Source organism: Homo sapiens, chromosome 18 (genome assembly GCF_000001405.40).
Source record: "Homo sapiens chromosome 18, GRCh38.p14 Primary Assembly".
NCBI lineage: Eukaryota > Metazoa > Chordata > Mammalia > Primates > Hominidae > Homo > Homo sapiens.
Window position 1 is genome coordinate 56,776,055 of NC_000018.10, and position 21,566 is coordinate 56,797,620.

General features: G+C 34.4%; 1 protein-coding gene across 13 annotated transcripts in view; it reads left to right on the top strand.

The window, feature by feature from the left end:
• Nucleotides 1-21,566, top strand: part of WDR7 (WD repeat domain 7) — a 385,248-nt gene that overhangs the window by 124,696 nt on the left and 238,986 nt on the right. For 6 of the 13 annotated variants that reach the window (XR_007066132.1, XR_007066133.1, XR_007066134.1 and 3 more), the window contains exons 17-18: nt 3,377-3,495; nt 5,479-5,602. Coding sequence is in view for 9 of the 13 variants with exons in the window: in NM_052834.3 (NP_443066.2) it covers nt 3,377-3,495; nt 5,479-5,602 (243 nt within the window). In the remaining 4 variants the exon portion in view is untranslated. Of the gene's footprint in view, nt 1-727; nt 827-2,385; nt 2,435-3,376; nt 3,496-5,478; nt 5,603-21,566 lie in introns of those variants that run through there. The other 7 variants (XR_007066131.1, NM_015285.3, XM_011525888.3 and 4 more) reach the window with 3 other exon arrangements.

Here is a 21,566-nt window from a genome sequence, read left to right on the forward strand (position 1 = left end):
ATTTAAGCTGAAACATTTTCTTGGCAACATAACTTTCTTGAGGGGTTAGGGAGTGAATTGGTACCTCTATAAGAAATATAAAATTCACAAAAATTTTTTTTTAGCATAGGGAGTATTTGTGAAATAATTAAAAAAAAAAAACTCCAATGAATGAACCTGTTAGGATTCTTTTAACAAGAGTTAAACATGGTATATATATTCTTTGCAAGTTGGGATATTTTAAATTGAGTTTTCATAAAATAAGTGTGAAAAGTTGAAATGATCTTAGTGAATATTGGTTTGAAAATTTAAAAATAATTTACACATAATGTCAGAGAATAAACTGTTAGGAAAATGTAACTGACAATATGAAGACCAACATAAAGCTTTTTCATCGTGATACATTTTAAAAATTGAATAACATTTTTGCTAATTTTTACTGTCATTTTTTCATGATGGCTCTAGTTGTTTTAGAGCTATGTTTTGCATTAGTCAATACATTCATCAGAATATTAGATTTTGACTCTAAGATGAATTTGAACTATATTGTGATTACTGTTCAATAAAATATATCATTTTTCTGCTGTAATCTTTAATGATCATGCCTTTCTGATGAAAACATCGTTTCAGTTCTACATTCTCTGTTTTGCCTACTTTGTTTTTCATTCTTCACTAATACTAAGCTTTTTTTCAGAAACTGCTGTACTTCAATTCTCTCCTCTTTACTTCTTCTCTTTTCCTCTGCAAGTTGCTGCACCTGTCGTTTCCGCTCGGTCTGATGCTGATCACTCTGGCTCTGACCCTCCTTCTGCTCCTGCTTTACATACCTGTTTCTTAGTAAATGAAGGTATCTCTCTCAACTTCTAACAACTTTCTCTCAATCTGTGCTTTATTCTGACAGACATGTTCTTTTTATCTGAGTTACACATTCATCTGCTTTGTTATGTATGAGATTCTAAAGTTCCCATTTTATGACTTTATTTGCTAATGTCAATGACAAGAACCAGTTTTAAAAATGTAATGTTACCTCTGGCTGGTATAATCCATGTTTTCTATAATCTAGACTACTGTTAAGTGCAGAGATGCCAATCTTTGATGTAAAGTCAGTGATAAAGGTGGATTGGTTTTTGTAATGATGTTTGCCATTTGATCTCTGGCATTAGAGCTAATGAATTTATTTTATATGTATCATTACTTGGTGGCAGACACACTTTGCTGCCTTTTCACAATTGTGTATGCCAGTTAGAGGGAGTTGTGAGGGAATCTCTTAACATTCTCATTGGAAAAGTCTTCAGATTGATTATTGGCACCAGTGATTATAGACTGATAGGAATTTACCTATTTACCCTCTTTACTATTTCTGTTTTAAGCTCAGGCAAAAATTCATTATTTCAGTATTTAAGGCGTAGTTGGGCTACCATGTTATCTCTGTGGAGTTACACAAGTCGAAAGTATTTTTGGAGCCCTGAAAATGGGAATGGGACCTACAAACCTTTATTCCATAAGACCTATCTAGGATTATTTGTACTGCCCAGAAGCTTAATGAAACGTGAGCTCTGAGTTACATCCACTGTCTTCATTGCGTTTGTAGTTACCACTTTGCATAACATAAAAAGGAAGACATTTTCAAAATCAAAAATATAACAGTAAGACCTGGCTCTTCATGAAAAAGCATTTTTCAAATGGAAGGAATCTTGCAATCTGGAATCTTCCAGTGGCCATAAAGTACAGAGCCCATGTTGCAAGCACCACTCCTTTGGAAAGAAAACATGGGGACTTAAAAGTGTAACTTCATTTTTGGTTTCCTTGTCATAGAACTTTAATAAGGTTTGTATGTTAAGACCGAATTTTAGCAAAATTCGAACTTTACCAAAATAATTTGGGTCATATTTGTTACACTATTTGTTAATTCAAAAAATAAGCTGTTTGGACCTTGGTGAGAATCACCATATGTTAAAATTTAGCTCATGAATACACTTTATACTTATATGAAACATTGAAATACTTTAGGAAATTACTAGGTATATACATATATGTATATCTAAAGTATATCTCCCTCTATTATAAAGAAGTTATAATCTAAAATGTGTTTCCATCACCTTAATTAATGTAATTACATGTTTATTATCAGTTGATGAGAATTTCCTCACTGAAAGGATGAATCTTTAGATAAGTGGCTTGTCAGTCTGTCTCTCTCCCGCTCTCATTCACTCTCTTTGGCAATTCCAATAATTTAAAATTTTATGGTAAGGTTTTTGTCATTATTTTAAGAAGATTACAGTTTAGATTATTTCAAAACACTGATTTGCTAAAATTCTATCTTCACAGATAATTCATCTTGTAACATGATAGCAGACTTTTTTTTGCACCCATCTTTGATTACTTGTCTTTAAATATTATCCCTAGGAGGTAATGGTAATTATCATGGGTTAATAGTGGCCTCATCGATAATTTGGTAAGAATGAGGAATTTATTGTATATGTATTTTCACATACCTTTAAAATGGGGTTGCAGTGATTATTTGGGAATGTCTGTTATCTAATACTTCAGTTATTGTGTATCTATTTTCACATACCTTTAAAATGGCATTGGAGTGACTATTTGGGAATGTCTGTTATCTAATATTTTTACACTTTGCACTGGCATACAGTGTTTGTCTTTTTTTCCTATAATCAAGTTCCATATTGTGAATTAGAATTTTAGAAAAAGTCACTTTTATTGTCATAGATTAGGTTTAACAATGTTTAAGATTTTGTAAATTTTGAATTGTTAGGTTTTTATTTTGTGGAATGTCTGAATTCATTTTTTTCTTTCCAAATTGGGGGTTATGTTACTTTAAATATTAGATATTATGGTTAGATATTTAATCTGATTCATTTTGTAAGAAAAGGTACCTTAATGAGAGGTCCTCTGACAGAAATGGAGGACATCTCTTTTGGCTGACACAGTGGTAACACACAGATGGCCATGCCTTAAGTGACATGAACCTATTTTTGGATATCTGTGTGAATGCCCTTTTAACTGACAGTGGTTTCAAATCTATAGCTCTAGTATGTGTTTATTTCTGTGTTTTGCCATTCTTTAATATATATTTTATTTTAGAGGGACTGTTAAGAAATGTGTTTTTCTTGTGAATTTGGATATACTTCCAGTGGAAATTTATTTTTATTTCTTTTAAGATGTTGAGAATTCTTATAGGCACCAATTACATGATTTAGGGATGAAATACGTTTAGTATAATTCTTTGCACAAAGTGTCTACTATTAAATTGAAATCATTTGTAATATAACTTAGCAGATCTGCCTTTTTTTGTTTTTGGTATACTTACATAAAGAACTGTTGACTTAGGGAATGCCAAAATGGTTAAAGAATTTGTAATATATTACATTTTTGACAGGTTGGAGTCAGTTAGCTGCTATGCACTGTGTTATGCTGCCAGACCTACTGGGATTGGATAAATTTAGGCCTCCCCTTCTGGAGATGCTGGCCCGAAGATGGCAAGATCGATGCTTGGAGGTAATGCTAAAGTGATAAGGATAGAAAACAAAAATATTAAAAAGGCATTGGTCAAATGTAAACTTGAAACAAAAATGATTACTGTTTATCTGATTTATCATCTGTTCATTATGTGATAGAAAATGTGGATTCATGATTTATGTTTTCTTCTTTGTCAGCTTTTATACCAACCAGTAATGCTCCAGCTGGTTTATTCGTTTACTTTTAAAGAATTCAGTGACTGTTTGATGAAGTCTTATATACTTTATGGAACTATTTCTTAAGTTTGGTTTCTGTACGGATCACACACACTCATGCATAAACAAATACATAAACCTGCTTCCCCCAGAATTACACACTCAGTGTCATCACATAAATTAAGTTCTAATTCAATTGCCATATTTCAGTGAAAGGTAGTGTGTTATTGTAAAAGGAGGCCTTGGAATTAGAAGACACCTGGGTTTAAATATCAGTCCCACCAATTATGAACTTTGTGACCCTGGGCAATTTACTTAACCTATTTAAAGCTCATTTATAAAGTGGGGATAATAATATATTCCTCATGGGATTGCCGTCAGGATCAAATCAGATGATGCAAGTAAAACAGGAAGTACAGTACCTGACACATGGTAGGAGCTCACTAAATGGTAGCCACTATTTTGTGTTAATGGCCTTATTCTATATTAGATATTACTTGGAATATAATATTACCAAGCACTTGAAAATGTTTAATAAAGATTTTCCTTATTATGGCATTCGACCTGTATAGCCATAGCAGTTTATATTATCCAGGATTCTTAATTTTCCAAATATAAGTACGAGTAATATAATTGCTTCTTTCCTAGACTTTCTCCTCTCAACTCCAAATGGGATTGCAGAATACTAGCATTTTCATTGAATAATATTTTGAATTCACTTCAGAAGTCACTTATACTTAAAAGTACCAGTAAAAAAGTTGTTTTTATTTAGATGCTGCTAAGTTATCTTTTCAATTATAAAGAGTTAATAGGCCGGGTGATGTGGGTCATGCCTGTAATCCCAACGCTTTGGGAGGCCCAGGTGGGTGAGACCAGCCTGGGCAACATGGTGAAACCCTGTCTCTACTAAAAATACAAAAAAAAATTAGCCGGTCGTGGTGGCATACGCCTGTAGTCCTAGCTACTTGGGAGGCTGAGGCCCAAGTATTACTGGAGCCCGGGAGGTGGAAGTTGCAGTGAGCCGAGATCACGCCATGGCACTCCAGCCTGGTCAACAGGGCAACACTTGGTCTCAGAAAAAGTTAATAAATTGGTACAGCACTTAATAATTGACTAGCTTTTTTGACTTCATGCCTGTGGCATTTTTGCCAAAATAACACTAAATTAAAACTGCAAAATAAAATTTGTATGCTACATTGAAAGAAAAATATATAATTTTGAAAAATGATTTCCTCTATAAAACTAAAATAAGTTATGCCTTTATACAGGAATATTTATTTGTCAAAAACATTGTTTAAGCATGTCTTAGGTATACGTGAATCATGTTAACTTATACGTATTTGTTTGTATAAATAGTATCTACTTAGCATATATAATATAAAGAAATTAAATAGATAAGGTTAACTTCAAGCTAAAAAAACAATAGCTCTCACAGTGGCTTAACAATAATGTTAATATAGAAATTTTAAAAGTAAAATGCTACATTAAAGTTCAAAAATGCTTTGGAAAATGCAGTTTTAAAGTTCAAGAATGCTTTGGAAAATGCAGTGATTAAATTGTTGAAACCTAATTCTTTCCATTAGTGTTAAAATAGTTTTCAGTGAAATCATTAATTAAAATATCTTTGATGATTTGCTAGCATCTGATTTTTAAGTAGTTAACTCATTCGGTTAATAGTGTTTTTCATGTAAATAAATATGGTTTTTATGTTTTCTAGCCTTATTTCATTATAAATTTTCTAGTTTATGAATATTCACCTCCTCAACTAATCTGCTTTCTGCTTTTACATTTGGGTCTGTGGTCTTAGGTGAGAGAAGCCGCGCAGGCCCTGCTTCTGGCGGAACTGAGAAGAATTGAGCAGGCAGGCAGGAAGGAAGCCATTGATGCCTGGGCTCCTTACTTACCTCAGTACATAGACCACGTCATATCACGTAAGAGTTCTCATGCTTCTCTACAAAGCTTTGCAGGAATATGTAGAAAAGGTACCTGTACTCACAAATATATATGCTACTACCCATCAACAAAAATGAGTCACTGACCTTAAAGTGAAAAGAACAGATCCTCAAATTCACTTTATTATTTTCTGAATCTCTGTAGTTTGGAACTTGCTTTAAAAAACAAAAGGCAAAGGCTGTCTATATCAAAATATTCATTAATGAACTGACTTTTATAAATGAATTCCCCATCAAACATCCTACTCTAGTACTAACATGTGCCTCCGCCCATTGCATTATTATGCTTATGGATGCCAGCTTGTTCGATATGGATCTGATGATATGCAAGTGCAGATACAAGGCAAACTCTCTTGCTAGTTAAAGTTGGGATTGTGAATCCTTAGAAAAACAAAGATCTGATAGAGTTAGACTCAGGCAATATTTACAAAGAGAAAATTGGGAAGGATTTTGATGGATAAATCTTTCAAAAGAGTATAATTTGAAAGGATTAGAAAAATTGTTGAAATTTTTTGAATATTCTTTTGCAAAATAAAAGCTTTATAATTATGTTGCTACATTGAATGTGCATTGGAAAAGAGTTGTATTTTGCTATCATAATGAGCATACTCATTCCCAGTTCATCATTTGGTTGGTTTTGTATTTTTGTTTGGTTTGTTTTATATTTTTCTAAAAACAGTTTAGTTACTAAATAATTTTTTTAAGGTCCCTCAGTTACTAAGTGACTAAATTATAATCAATATAATTGAGTCAAATAAAATTTTAATTTTGCTCTTAATTATATTGATTAAAAAATTTTACCCTAAATTATATTGAATTAAAATTAAAATTTTACCCTAAATTATATTCATTGTAAGATAAATTTTCAGTTTTGCAAGATAAAGTGTGAGTGAAACTTTAAAAAAAACTTTTTATTATGAAAATTTGGCCTGGGTTTTAGGTGGACTCATTTTAAATGACCTTTTGCCAATACCAGTTATTCTTTGTAATGAAATACTCATTACACATGTCAAGATGGACAGTACATTATTATACAAGAAGGAAAATGAAAACAAAATTCAGAAAGGTTTATAACTTTTATATCTGGTTTAAACTCTACCAGATCTTTGCCAGTGGTGACTCTAGTGGATGTTTAATCAAGCATGTGACCTTGGGCACTTTTCTTAAGCTTTCTTAGTCTCAGTTTTATCGCAGATGAAATAAAGATGATAATAGGACTTTATAGGGTTATTATGTGTGTGGCATGAGTTAATCTTTGTTAAGTGCGTAGAACAATTCCTAGCCCATAGTAAGCATAATACTTTTGTTAAATACTTTATAATCTATAAAAATGCAAATATTTATTTCACTTATAGCCGAAGTATCACACATTAACAGCTCCAGTGAAAATTCTTAATTGTTTGAGCAATAAAATATTTACTTAGTGAATATAGGTTATCATTTGCTTTCTGGAAATTTTTCTATTTTAATAAAGCAAATTAAGTTAAAAAAAAAAACAAGGCATCTAGACATATAGACTCTAAGTTATTAGGCTTAAGATTGTTTTAAAAATATGTGCAGATTTTCAAATTTCCAGAATATAAAAAAGAGTTTCAAAAAAATAAAATTGGGATGAAAAGAACTTTGTCTTTGAGTAGATGAGAAGGTAGTCCGGAAAAAGTGTTCTTTGTTCATAATTTGTGGGCATTAACTTTATAATATTCCAGAAAATATAGTTAGATGATCATCTCATCATAAGCTTTATTGAATATAAGATCCCCAAAATTAAGGACAAACTATGACTATAGTATTTACAGAGTTGTTTGAAGGTGAAAATAGGCAATGGCAAATCACTAAAGAATTTTTTTAAAAATAAGAATGCTATTATGGAAATATTGAGACATTGGTGCTTTTAAGACATCTTTATTCCAAATGGACTCGTGTGAAGTAGGGAAATTGATTAAAGTAGAATAACTAGCTGGCAGGCTATTGCAGAAGGGAGGTTATGGGAACCAGACCTAAATGTAGATAGGGTAGAATAAAAGATAATTTCTAAGACTTGATTATTGATTGCTTATAAAGGTCTAAGAAAAACACCAAAGATTAGTACAGGGTTGTATTCTTGACAGAGAAAAACGTTGGGAAAAAGAGATGCCATTAGCAATTGTAGTGGATGCCTTTTTATTTTATTCCTGGGAAGAAGAGAATAAGTTAGCTACAAGGTAAAGGCAAAATATAGCCACAAATTACTCCCTGAAGCAGTGCCAGAACTGTGTATGTTGTTTGGAGAGAGGTGTGTTAGCAGGCCCAGAGAGAATAAAATATAAGTAAAATAGTAATACCTACCATTAATTGGACACTTTGTCTGCGTCAGGCTTTGCTAAGTATCTGGTCTACGTTATTTCATTTAACCATTACAATAACCTTGTAAAGTACCCACTATTGCCATCACGGCCTGCCTCTGCCCCCAGCCTTTTGTTTTCTTTCAGAGGAGTAAATGGGAGGCCAGGAGAGATTAAAGAATTTTCTGAAGGTCCCTCAGTTACTAAGTGACAGACTCCAAAACTTATTCTTGTAACCACTATTTATTCCTTTTTTTAAAAAATTATTTTTTATTTCAATAGCTTTTGGTGTATAAATGGTTTTTGGTTACATAGATGGAGTGTAAGGTGGTAAAGTGTGAGATTTTAGTGCAGCCTTCACCTGGAGGGTAAAGGTGCACATTGCTGTACATTATACCCAATACGTAGCTTTTTTTATCCCTCACCCTTCCTCCACCCTTCCCCTTCTGAGTCTCCATAATCCATTATATCACTCTGTGTGACTTTGCATACTCAGAATTTAGCTCCCACTTATAAGTGAGAACGTATATTAATCACTATTTATTCCATCTTGCTTGCTCTGGCATCCTTGGATCTTAAATGGGGATGAAGATGGAAGAATGAGTAGATACTTAGCTTAACTAATATTGCTTTCAGACACTGTTCTTTGCAGCCGTGTTACAGTTAACGACAACAAAATGGAGTCACAAAAATTGTAAGAAAATGACTCTTTGATGGGTCTGGTCACTGTTTAAGTATAAAGTAGGCTGTTCTTATGTCATATTTAAACCTTTCTGTTTATGTATTATGTTTATGTTGTATATTTAAGTTTTGTATTTATGTAAGTCTTTTGTATTTGATTATAGTATCCCAGAGTACTTCATATATTAGCTAAATGCTGGCTTACTTAAAACTTTGATCTTGTCATTTATTGTTGTTGTTTTTTTTTTTGTGAAAGACAAACATGCATTCTACATGTAACTGAAACATGCACTGACAACTCTTGATATAATACATTAATCTTTTCTGGAACTTCTACATTGACTGAGTGTTAAACTCGTTTTAGTTTGCTTTACTGTGAGCTTTCTATTTTAATAAAAGGGTGTCAGGCTAAGGGAGTAGGGATTCTGAACGTATGAAAGGAGAAGAAAGCTTACAACAAATGAGGAATGACCACATAGGGCTGTTGAACAGATTTGCTGTCCGAAGGGATCAAAAGGTTATGGAGCCAGCTGGTAGACAGCCCACACCTGCCATCAACGTGCTTGTACTGAAATCGCCTCTACCATTGTCATTAATGTTTGAGATGATCATTGTGGCAAGTTACATCGTAAAGTATTGCTTTAGAAATGCAAAACCTGTTTCTAGCATAAGAATCTTCTTTGAAAATGGGCAAAATATTAAACAATATATCTGACAAATATACCACCCATCAGATATTTTCTTATAATTTAATAATTCTAGGCACTTTACAAAATGCAATAATTCCCTAAGCAATCTTGGCAGCTCCTAACTTAAAATTGAGCTTTGTCTAAGAGTCCTTTTCTTACATATTTGTCTGAAAATCAGAAAACGCTCTTACCTGAAGAGCAGAATGGCATACTGGGCTGATGGACTGTGATAGCTCTTCATCTTAGAGATGAAGTTTAATGTGGGTGGTAACTATCTCTACTTCACAGTCCGTAAGTGATTGGGCTGGGACTAAGATGATAAAGCATCTGGTCTTACTGACTGGGATCTTCTATATTTTATTTAGGTACATTATGCAATAAAAAGCCGTTTGCAGGTTAGTTTGAGAATGTAAGGAAAACAATGAGCCAGTTGCTTTTCTCAGGATTCTTTTTTTCTTTTTCTTTTTTTTTTTTTTTTAAAGAGACAGGGTCTCGCTGTGTTGTCCTGGCTGGACTTGAACTCCTAGGCTCAAGGGATCTTCCCGCCTCAGCCTCCTGAGTAGCTGGAACTAAAGGTGCACACCACCATGCCTGGCTCTCAGGACAGGAGAGCATGAAAAGAGAAACTCTTTGTAACGCTTTTAATGTAAAGTGCATAATACAAGTACAGAACGTTGGCTGGCTGTACCTTTCCTTTTCTATGTTGGTTTCTATAGTTTTGTTCTCTTTATTGCCACTGCCTCAGAATTCACTTTAATTTATATTGCCCAGGGATTCTGGCAGATCACTGCCAGACTGGAGATCACTGGGGAAGAAAAAGGAGCAATAGTCTGTCTTAACTGAAAAGCCAGCTCACAGATTGTTATAAGAATAAAGTCCTTACCGGGCGCAGTGGCTCACGCCTGTAATCCTAGCACTTTGGGAGGCCGAAGCGGGCGGATTGCCTGAGCTCAGGAGTTCAAGACCAGCCTGGGCAACAGGGTGAAAAACAGTCTCTACTAAATACAAAATTTAGCCGGGCATGGCTGCGTGCACCTGTAGTCCCAGCTACTCGGGAGGCTTAGGCAGGAGAATTGCTTGAACCCGGGAGGCAGAAGTTGCAGTGAGCCAAGATCGCGCCACTGCACTCCAGCCTGGGTGACAGGAGCGAGACTCTATCTCCAAAAAAAAAAACAAAACAAAGAAACAAAAAAGAGTCAAGCCCTAATTGAGTACTGTGAGAATTTTGTTTCAGATAATGGTGCTCTGTTCTTGAACCAGTCAGGAAATACTATTTTATCCTTTAAAAATATCGTGAGTATGTAAACTTTTGCTGCTTAATTTCTGATAGATAAATTGAGGATAAGTGCATTGTGATTCCTATACTAATGGTAATGGACTTAAATAATATGGCATACGTTCTTGTAATACTGACTTATAGAAATATAATAATTCTTGTCTGAGCCCTCAGTCTTTAGCATGTTTGTTGCTTTTATGTTCCAAAAACACTTTTTAAAAATTTTATTGGTTATTGTTACTATTAGGTTGGTGCAAAAGTAAATAGTTTTTGCCATTAAAAGTAGTGGCAAAAACCACAATTACTTTTGCACCAACCTAATAAATAGGGATTAATGTTATTTTCTGAAATTTTTGCATTATAATTCAGATGAAGATAAATATTATGAGTTGTCTCAGATTTATTTTGAAGTGAAGCTGTTTGGCAGAACCCAGTTTTATATGTCTCTTATTTGTGATATTCTACTTGTAGCATTTTGAGAATTGACTTTTTTATGAGGTCAAGCACCTGCTGGTTTATGAAATATGCCCACACTTGCCCTTCATTTCAGTTGGTGATGACTCTGAGGCAAATGCTGATGGTTCCTGATTTCCTTTGGCCTGCAACGCAGAGTGACCTTACAGGGCATGAGGTCACAAGCGTAATTATTTCTTGTACGTTGTATTCTGCCTGCTCACAGGGGCTCATCTCCTCTTTTAGTTTCAGAAACATTAAACACATAAAAGTCACTACCATTATATAAATCAAAATCTCTTCTAAAGAGGGTGCCGTTGTAATTTTATGCAGTTATGGCCAACATAGTATTAATTTGCAAATGTATCATCTCAGATATTGATAGAAGGATGTGTAACACATCGTGTTTAATACGTATTGATGTCATCAGAAAGCACAATCCTTTGTTCTTATCGAGTCCCTGCCTTTTTAGCTTCCTTTTGTGTTAAGGTTACCAGGGTTAGGCTCGTCTTTTTATCCCCCTTGGAAACAGAATAGGCTTTCTTTGTTCAATGAAAGACACTCCTAGTAAATGTTTTGGGTTTGACTTTCAACAAGCCACACTGTAGTACCTATTTTAACCTGGAATTGAAGTCACTTTTCTGATGATTATAAAGTAGTGGTCATTCTGAGCACAAATGTGGATGGACCAACACTATACAAGAAGGTAAGATGAAACTGTGTTACAGAGGGAGTTGAAAAGGATATTGTAGCTAGTAAAAATAGTTTAAATATTAGTGTATTCTTTGGTAGGCCGATATTTTTAGGGTTTGTTCGTAGGAAGAGGACGGGGGGAAGGATAGGGAGAGAGTTTGATAAACATGGTATGAGTCTTTCCCCCGCCCAAAGGCCTTAAACTACACAGCGTTCTTCCTTCTTTCTCTTTTTATATATGCCTCAGTGTTTGCAATTCTGTGAGATAGTTGTTTTTAAGGAATGGTTTTCTAGATGACTAAGGGTTTTTTAATTACTAAATGCTCAGGTTATTTTTTAAAAATACATCCTTTTTTTGTTGAAATATTTCAAAAAGTCTTTGGCTTTTTCATCCTCTATTCACTAGCCAGAGTTATTGTTTTGGCCTATGCTGTGAAATTACCACCACTTGCTTATTGAAGAGAATATACTTCTTTATTTGAATGGAAAAGTCCCCAGATTGATAATGCCTCTTACATTTTATATAGTAGTTTTTACTAATTTTCCTTCCTCCTCTTTTTTATTGTCTAGTAATTGTTACCAATTTTTATTGCTATTGGGCTGCTACCTTTCACCTTTAGCAGCTTTTACCCTGATTTCGAATTTACTGTTTCTAGTGTTGTAGGGGTGTGGATGCCAGGCAACCAAGCTTGAGTTAAATGTAAAATAAGAGTAAACTGGCTAAGAATAAGAGCTCTCTGATAAAAATATACCTAAGCTTTAGGTAAGCACCCTGTGCTGTCCCTCTTGGTTCCTCACTTTCTGCTTGCTGGACTACTTTCCTATCTCCTTTGTGGTATTCTGGATGTCTTTTCTTTTTGAGCAAGAGTATTCTAATTGGTGAAAGAACGGGAAAGTTACTCATGAAGAACTCAATAATTCTAAAATACCCCTTTTGTAATGCCTGTTTTATGAACCAGCTAAAACTAAAGGATGAGGTTTCTTCAAAAATATTTGTAATAGTTGTCTTATAGTGTTCACAAAGCCAATTGGAAATGATTATGCATTGTGATTAGAAGGGGAAGTACTAAATTATGACTGAGTGATATATATGAAAACTACTTCTGTGTGATACTTTATATTGTGAGGCAGAAAGAGTTTGTCTAAGACAAACTATATTATGCAAAGCACACTGTATCCGTAGTGTATCTGTTTGCAGTGTTTCATTGGGACCTGAGAGATTTGTTCCTCTTTTTTCTTCCAGAGAGTCAGAGCTATTGAGCTTAATTTTAAGCGCTCTAGACTGATCACGTATTTAGCAGCATTAAACTGTTCTACTTATCTATATTTGGCCACTAACCTAATGGAATAACAATGGAATTTGTTCTTAATCAGTCATGACTATCTAAAAGGGAAATTCGTTCCATGTGACTTGGGTTCTTTGAGTTAACATTTAATATTCTCGTGAGTTTTCTTTTATCTTTTTAATAAGTCTTGAACATTAGTCAAGTGGCAAATTAAAAATGAAAGTATTCTTGGATGGATTGGTTATTTAGACTTTACTTCTAAGTAATAAACAGAAAATTCCCTGTTATCAAGTTAATTCTGTATGTTAGGAGCTCCGCAGGATGAAGTCACTTCCTGCTACCAGGGAACTCCTCCGCACAAGCGGTCCTCTAACAATGGAGCCAACAGCCTGCGCTCAGGATGTCAGTAGAAACCCCATGACAGTTTGCCATTTTGTGGAACAAAGCAAGGAGTGAAGCATGTGGAAATTCAATCACATGTCCCTTGTATAGCAGTGAGGAGATGGGGGAGTCCATCCAGTGTGATTTTCACCTGCCTCTCTCTCTCTCATCCCACTTAGGCCCCTGAGGCAAAACTGCTGGGCTTGAAAGGCTTTGAAATAACTTTAGATCTTTCTTCATGTCCCCCTTTTCTCATTCACAAGTCTCTCCCTATCTTTATACCTTCAGTGCAGAAATTCATTACCTCTCCTATAGTTGTAGTTGGTGGCAAGGCCCCTAGGAGGCGTAGCTGACTTTCTTAGAGGTGTTCACTTACCATCTGCTTTAAGAAGTTGTACATACTTAAGTCTAAGAGGACTGTTTTATAAAAGAAAACACTCATTCAGCCTGTGACACATTCATTTTAAAAAATGGTGTTCAAATGGAAATGCCTGATATACCTTTAGCTGAGATTCTAGTGGCCTTTGCTATAATAAATGACCTAATATTAGTTTCTGTGAAGAGTACAATATTGATTTGTGCCATTATTCTGTAGCTGATTTGCTGAAGAACAAAAATTTATAATGCTAATGGAAATAAAGTACTTTACAAAACACTGCACATGAATACCGGAACGTGTCTTTGTAATAGAACAAGTGTCTCGTAAGCTTTTAAATATAAATTTTCTTTATTCTAGCACATGGTATTCCAGTACAGATACTCAGAGTCATGTCCAACTTGTTTTTATAGAGCAAAAAGCTGAGTTGATAATCTTGTGATGTTTTACCACTTAGACACTGAATATGCATATAGAAATCCAATTTTGATTGGATTGTGAGGCATTTATAATTTTGTACCCTGTTTCTGATTTTCTTATCTCTTTATGTTGATTGGATGGTATGTGTATTTGCCTTGTTTTTTTGTTTGGCCTTGTGATCTGCATATGACAGAATAGATCTTACGGATTGGAAGGAAAACAGTAATTTAAAGTCATTGCAAGAAAATTATATTAACCTATTTTACCTGTAATATTTTTATTATATTAGCTAATGATAGATTTTGTTCTAGTATTGTTTATAAATTCTGGGATTAAAATGATCAAATTATACCTAAATATCTTGCTTAATCCATTCTTTCTCTTCCTGCTTTTTTTTGTGGGGGAAGTATGGTATTTTATATTTTATTTTTCCTTAGTGATATTGTCCTAATGATATATTACATCTGCTATCTGTTTTTATTAACCAGATTTTGATACAAATATGTATTTTAAATATGTTTTAATATTTATAAATGGTTTCATCGTGCATGACATTTGCAGACTTGGTTAATATTTTAGCACCTCTAGTACACAAACATAAAGAAAAATTTTTTTTTTATTTGTTTGAGCACCTGAATTGACCCCAGCAAGATTGAGATTGATCTGGTTTCTTTCAGCCTGTTAAATGCCAACCCAGTCATCTGTAACAGTACTTAGTGTTTTTGTAATTTTTCTGTACAAATTTTCTGTGTTTGTTCTGTAAAACTTACCTATCACTTGAAAATATTTTCCTTGATTTAGAGATGAAAATAACCACAACCACTTATTTTATTGCTTGTTTTAAAAAATTGTTTTGACAGTCAATGTCCATGCTATAATCACAGGGTTTTTGTGTGTGTGTGTATAATCTTAATGAAAAGAGTTTACATTTTACTAGGAAAAGATGATGAAACTTAACATTTGAAATATGGTCTTGGAATAAAGAACATCCAGCTTTAGGGAATGGAAATGGAAAAAGAGGTGGATAATTCTTAATACATGAATATTCATGCTGATTTAAAACATATAATTAAATTACATCTTTCTAATAATTAAACATTTTCAGATAAGTTCTGGCATATCTTATAGATACAAAGATGTAAATTATCTTATTTTTATATATCTTTATATCTTGGATATGAAGTAGAGAAAGCTTTTTCTTTACCCCCTTCTAGCAGGTGGCTACTATGTCTTAGGTTCTATTTTGATTTTTATCTGTTTGTTTTTTTTCCTTAAGCAAGGATCTGTCTTCAAAGCAAATAAATACCAGTCAGAGAAACTAAATGAGAAATGAGTCTCTGAATTTTGGGTGATGGCTGGAGGATTGGGCCTTTTCAGTCTTAATCTAAAGAGCCATGGTGCTTTTCATAAAATGTTTACTTAGGGTTTAAAGTAACCACATAGTCTCAGATGTCACCTATTTTAAAGGTGTGATCAGGATTCTGAGACCATCCCAAGCTTTTCCCATTTAGAAGTGGATGCATACTTGGGGCCAGAAACCTTTCCTTCTCCGTTTTGTCACTACCCAGTCTTGTGGCGAAGGGACTCTAGCATGATGGTTCTCAAAAGGAAAGTGAGAGGCAGGAGGGATGAGTTTCAAAAGACGATTCTTGTAAGCCTTGTCTCCTCAACCAAGAATCTGTATTTTTTCATTTTATAGTTTCCAAATTAGATGACAATAATTAGGGAGAAAAATACAATTTTTTTTTTCCTAAGGGGTTTTCTTTTCTTTTTCTTTCTTTCAAGATAGGGCCTCGCTCTGTCACGAAGGCTGGAGTGCAGTGGCACGATCACGGCTGACTGCAACCTCAACCTCCTGCGTTCAAGCAATCTTCCTGGCTCAGCCTTCCACGTAGCTGGGACCACAGGTGCACGCCACCATGTCTAGCTAATTTAAAATTTTTTCTTTCGTAAGGGGTCTTCCTATGTTGCCCAAGCTGGTCTCCAGTTTCTGGGCTCAAGTGATCCTCCCTTCTTGACTTCTCAAAGTGCTGGATTACAGACATGAGCCACTGTACCTGGCCAAGGATTTTTCTAATGATATATAAGTGATCATTTACTGAACCAGGTTATTGGTTGGGAATTCAGTGGAAAGAGTAGTATCTCCTCTTCACCATGTGTTAGCTGTAACCCCAGAGAGATCACATAGCTTCTGCACTAATCTTAACTACATCATAGTTTCTTCTTGTGTAAAAGGAGGGGAGCGAATAAATCCATGTTTTTCAAACATTTTAGGTAGTAAACTTACACATGAAATCTTAACCAGAGTTCCAATACGTAAAACCAATAAAAAGTATTTCTTTAGGCTTTTAAATCTTTGTTTTTTTTTTTTTTTTGAAAAATGTTTCATTTCTTGTACAATGAAACCTTCATGCTGTTCTTTTGTCTTTTGGGGTTCTATCTAGCACAATTGAAAACTGCTTAATTATCTGCTCCCTAAAAACCTTCTTGCTTTAACAAATTATTTTCTTTAACACACACACACACACACACACACACAGACACACATGCACACATACCTACACTATGACACAGGGCAGAATTAGTAAAGAGTTAATACAATCTTTCCCTTATATATAGGGCAATTACTAAAATTTGTTGTCATGCGGGACAACTTTTATTTCTCTGTAACTCCTTTGGTTCTGTATGGCAACTTGGGAAATATATTCTTGCTACTTCTCCAGAAAATGACTGCGCTCTTTGTAGAGCTTCATAGTAGGTTGCACCCAGCAAAGTACACTAACAGAGTGCCAGCTCAGTATGTGCATTCAATTCAGTATGTGACTAAAATAGTTGTCTCCTGGAAGCACAGAAACCATTTTGAATGTGCTACATTAATGTTTGATACATACTTCAGTCTACTGCCATACCACCCTGAATGCGCCTGATCTTATCTGACATATACTTCATTATTTTGAATTAAAATGTGATAACCTATCAGACATGGATTGGCCAACTATCTGGTTTTAGAACTTATTTGTTCTTATATAACTGTCATTGTATAATATGAGTGCAGATTCATATATATTCAGTCATCTTTTAATAGCCATGCTGCACTTGACAAACCTCTATAATCACTTGCCTGTTCAACTTAATGAATTGCCTGTCGTTGGATGAAGTTAAATCTGTTAATTTGGTTTCTTCTCTTTTCAAGGCATAGTAAGCACACTAAAGCTTCTGTGACATGTTCTGTGTAGAATCAGTAAATCAATTTCTAGAAAGCACACTAGTTGAGTTTTGATTTTCTTTCACACTAAATATTTAAAAGTATGTGCAAGAGATTTTGTTTCAGATTAAATTTTTGGTTGAGGAATTCTTATGTAATTAATTCTGCACATACTTGCTTTTTCTTTTTATCATTGGTTATACATGCCCCATAGCCCTGTGGTATGCATAAGGTGATCATGGTAAAAAGCAGAAACATTTATTCTTGAAGTTTATCATTGAAACACATGAATAGGATAACAGAGACATATTCCTCTTATATATTTGGCCAGAAAACATTTAAATGCTTCTTTAGAAAGCGGGCTTACATCTTTCTATTAATTATATGTCAAACGTCCTTAGTAGCGATTGGTAGGAGGGTAGGTATTTGGGGAGAAAACACATCAAACAGGGACCATTTCAGAGAAATTGTATTAACCTTTACTACTAATCAGTGAATCTTTTTTTCTTATTTCTCTTCGAGTTGCTGCATAGAGTTATTAGGATGATTTGTTAAATGATCTGTTTGCCAAATTACAATTTTAGAGACTGGTTTTGGATAAAACCAATGTGTTTTCTATTCTGTTTTAAAAACATTTGTATCTTAGAATATATCAAACGTAGAGAAAGGTGGAGAGTAATGTAATGAACTTTCATATACCTGTTGCCTAGTTTCAATGGTTACTGACTCCTGGGTAATCTTATTTTCTTTATCTCTTCATCTTTTGCCCCACATTATTCCCAAAGCAGTTCTCAAATGCAATATTGCCTTATCTGTAAATGTTTGTGTCTTAAAAGGTAAAGTCTATTTTTTTTTTTTTTTTTTTTTTTGAGACAGAGTCTCACTCTGTCGCCCAGGCTGGAGTACAGTGGCGTGATCTTGGCTCAATGCAAGCTCTGCCTCCTGGGTTCACGCCATTCTCCTGCCTCAGCCACCCAAACAGCTGGGACTACAGGTGCCCACCACCATGCCTGGCTAATTTTTTCTATTTTTAGTAGAGAAGGGGTTTCATTGTGCTAACAAGGATGGTCTCGATCTCCTGACCTTGTGATCTGCCTGCCTCGGCCTCCCAAAGTGCTGGGATTACAGGCGTGAGCCACCGTGCCCGGCCAGATAAAGTCTATTTTTAAAAAGCCAAAGCCTACACTACACTTTGAATGCCAAAAAATTAAAACCAATTTGTTAATATTATTCAGTAACTCAGTGTTTCTATTTTGCCAATATGTTTCATAATTTTTTCAAAGTTTGTTTATGCCATTTAGGATTCAAATAAAAGTTCATATATAACAGTTGGCTAACATGTTGCATATTTCTTTTAATCTATAGAGTTTCTATCAATCAATCATCTACTTGTCTTTAGCTCTTTCTCCTCCCGTTCTTTATGATTTATTTGTAGAATAAATTAGGTTTGTAGTGTGATGAGTTTTGCCTTTCTTTTCATTAGAGTAGCAGATCCCAGTATTATAAATTCTAACATTCCTTCCTCATTTGTTAGCTAGAATACTTCTCTAAGGAGAATCTTATCCTCATCAACTACTCTGCACCCTGGCTACACTTCAGAAATGACAGAACAAAGACTCGAAGTGATTTTTAAAGTATTTAAATATTAATATGAATTCATGGATTGAAACGTATTTAGGTTTTGGTCCATTATAATGATTCATATCATTTTACAAATTTTCCTATCTTTGATCAGTGGAAGCCTCTTTAGTTGACTCCTGAATCCTTTTGATAAGACCCTGGTAATCTTTGGTAGCCTAATTACTGACATTCTGTGCCCACCTCGTTTCCTGACTCAGACCTGAGTCAACTCATGTAAGAATCTTGGTCCTTTTAGTGGGAAATTGTGTTTTAAGATCGCAAAAAGTGCTAGATATGCGTCTTGCTGTTTGTTCACTGTTGCTTGCCTTTTTGGTAGATGCATGCACACTTTCATTTGAATCTTAGAGTATATAAAATACTTTGAGTTTATACTGATATTCCCCAATAAATTTGGAACTACAGAAGTTTTACTTAATTTGATTAACGTTACATCTGTATTTACTTTCCCTCACAACATCCATGTAATGACTCATCTGCTCTCCCCCACAATACACACACAACAGTTTGGAATACTGTCAGCACTGCCATACATGATATGATTACCAAAAATAATGTGTGGATGTTCTTGTTTGTTTGTATTCACTCTGTTGCCCAGGCTGGTCTCAGATTCAGATATGCACCCCAATGCCTAGCTTTATTTGTATTTGTTTGATTTTATTTGTTTGTTTGCTTATAGTTACTTTTTCTTCTTAGGGTATAAACCACTGAAGATGAACAGTTAAATTATTGTGCTTAAAGGTCACTGGAAATAGTTTCTCTCTGTGGGATCATACCACCAAGTTGATAACACAGTTACATTCATTTGTTTCATTTTAGTTGCACAATTATATTAGCTAATATCTCCAACATAATGTTAAATAGGAAATGTGAATACAACAATGATTTTATTAGATAACACGATGACATTATAATGAGTTTCTGTACTTCGAAGGTTAATTTTTTTACCTGGAAATCACAACAGTACCATTTAGCTAATGCACTAAACATATTTATAACCGAAATCATAGATTATTGGATGTATATCAATGCAATTTCTATAGAGATATAATCTTAACACCCATAGTTCTCCCAGCTGGTGGAATTTGTTGGATAGCTATGCACATAGTGCCACTGTAAGGGATGCCTCATCTTCAGGCAACTAAGAGGTTTCACTGTGAGGATATCTTCCTCCTTCACCTCCATTTGAAGATTTCTTTACTACCCTACTGGCTCACTCCCTCTCCCCACTGCCCCACTCAAGTGATTGCATGACTTTGGGAAGTTAATCTAGTTAATATTCATTTGAAAATGAAGAACTTAGACCCAGAGATGTATATCTACTGATTGTGTATGTTTCTTTAAGACTAGTGATTTCAAACTCGTCATGTTTAGAAAACTCTACAAAGCCTCAGCTGGTATACAAAGATTTCTGCATTGATAACTGTGGTGAGATTTTACTTGAAATATGCTAATGTTTCTAAAAGTTAAATTTCCACTAAAAAAACTTAATAGCATTTTGTTGCTAAAAATGAGGTGTCACTATCTAATTGCCCTCTGTTATCAAGTTTGCAGGTGCTCAGTAATTATGTAATAATACACAAGAAGAAAAAGATTTAATACCTACTAAATCCATGAACTATGATCAGTTCTTTTACATTTTCTTTAATTTTATTAGATTAAAATGTGCAAGTGAATGATGTAGAAGAAAATGACATTTCTTCCATGGCATGGAAGAAAAAAGGAAACGTCACCTTAAATTAAAATCACCTCCAAATTTTCTAACGTAGTTCTTTAAGAAATTTGAGGGGAGTTTGTTTGATTTTGCTCTATTTTGTTTTTTAATTAGAGGAAAAAGAAATCAAACTGCAACCCTAGGACCAAAGACTGTCTTTCCTTTGCTGGGACCTTTATAGTGGTCCATCAGGTACTGGCTCACAGACATCATCATGCCTTTCTTTCCCTCCCTGAGGCACCTTGGCGGAATCATGTGATCCTGTGAGCCAGGTGCATCAGCTCTGCTTCGGATCACAGAGATTAGACAGACTCATGAGTTGCTAGAACTCTTTGGTATTACGTGTTTGAATCCATGATGGGCCTTTGGCAAGTAGTGTTAGCTCTTTTTAAATGAAGTTGAACTGAGCTAAGGATGCACTTTCTTCTAATCTTGTGGATGTAGAAGGGGCCCCTGTGAGGCCCTCAGTAGGCTTCCTAGTTGCTGCTTTACCTGATAAGGCCCAAAGAGATTACATTTGGACCTGTAAAAAGGACAACAACAACAATAACAACAAACCCACCTTCTAGTAGTTTACTAGAGATAAATGGAAAACTTATCTCTAATTCTTCTCTAATTGATTCATTCCCTAATTGATTGAATGGTGATTAATTAGTTCCATGTAGTTTTTAAAATATAAATGGTATATTTATATACCATTTTATATTTTATATTTATGATATAAATATAAAACAGGTATAAATAGGATATGTAGGAAAAGGGGAAGAAGCAGTTAATTTTGATTGAACACAAAGTTCATTAAGATATTCT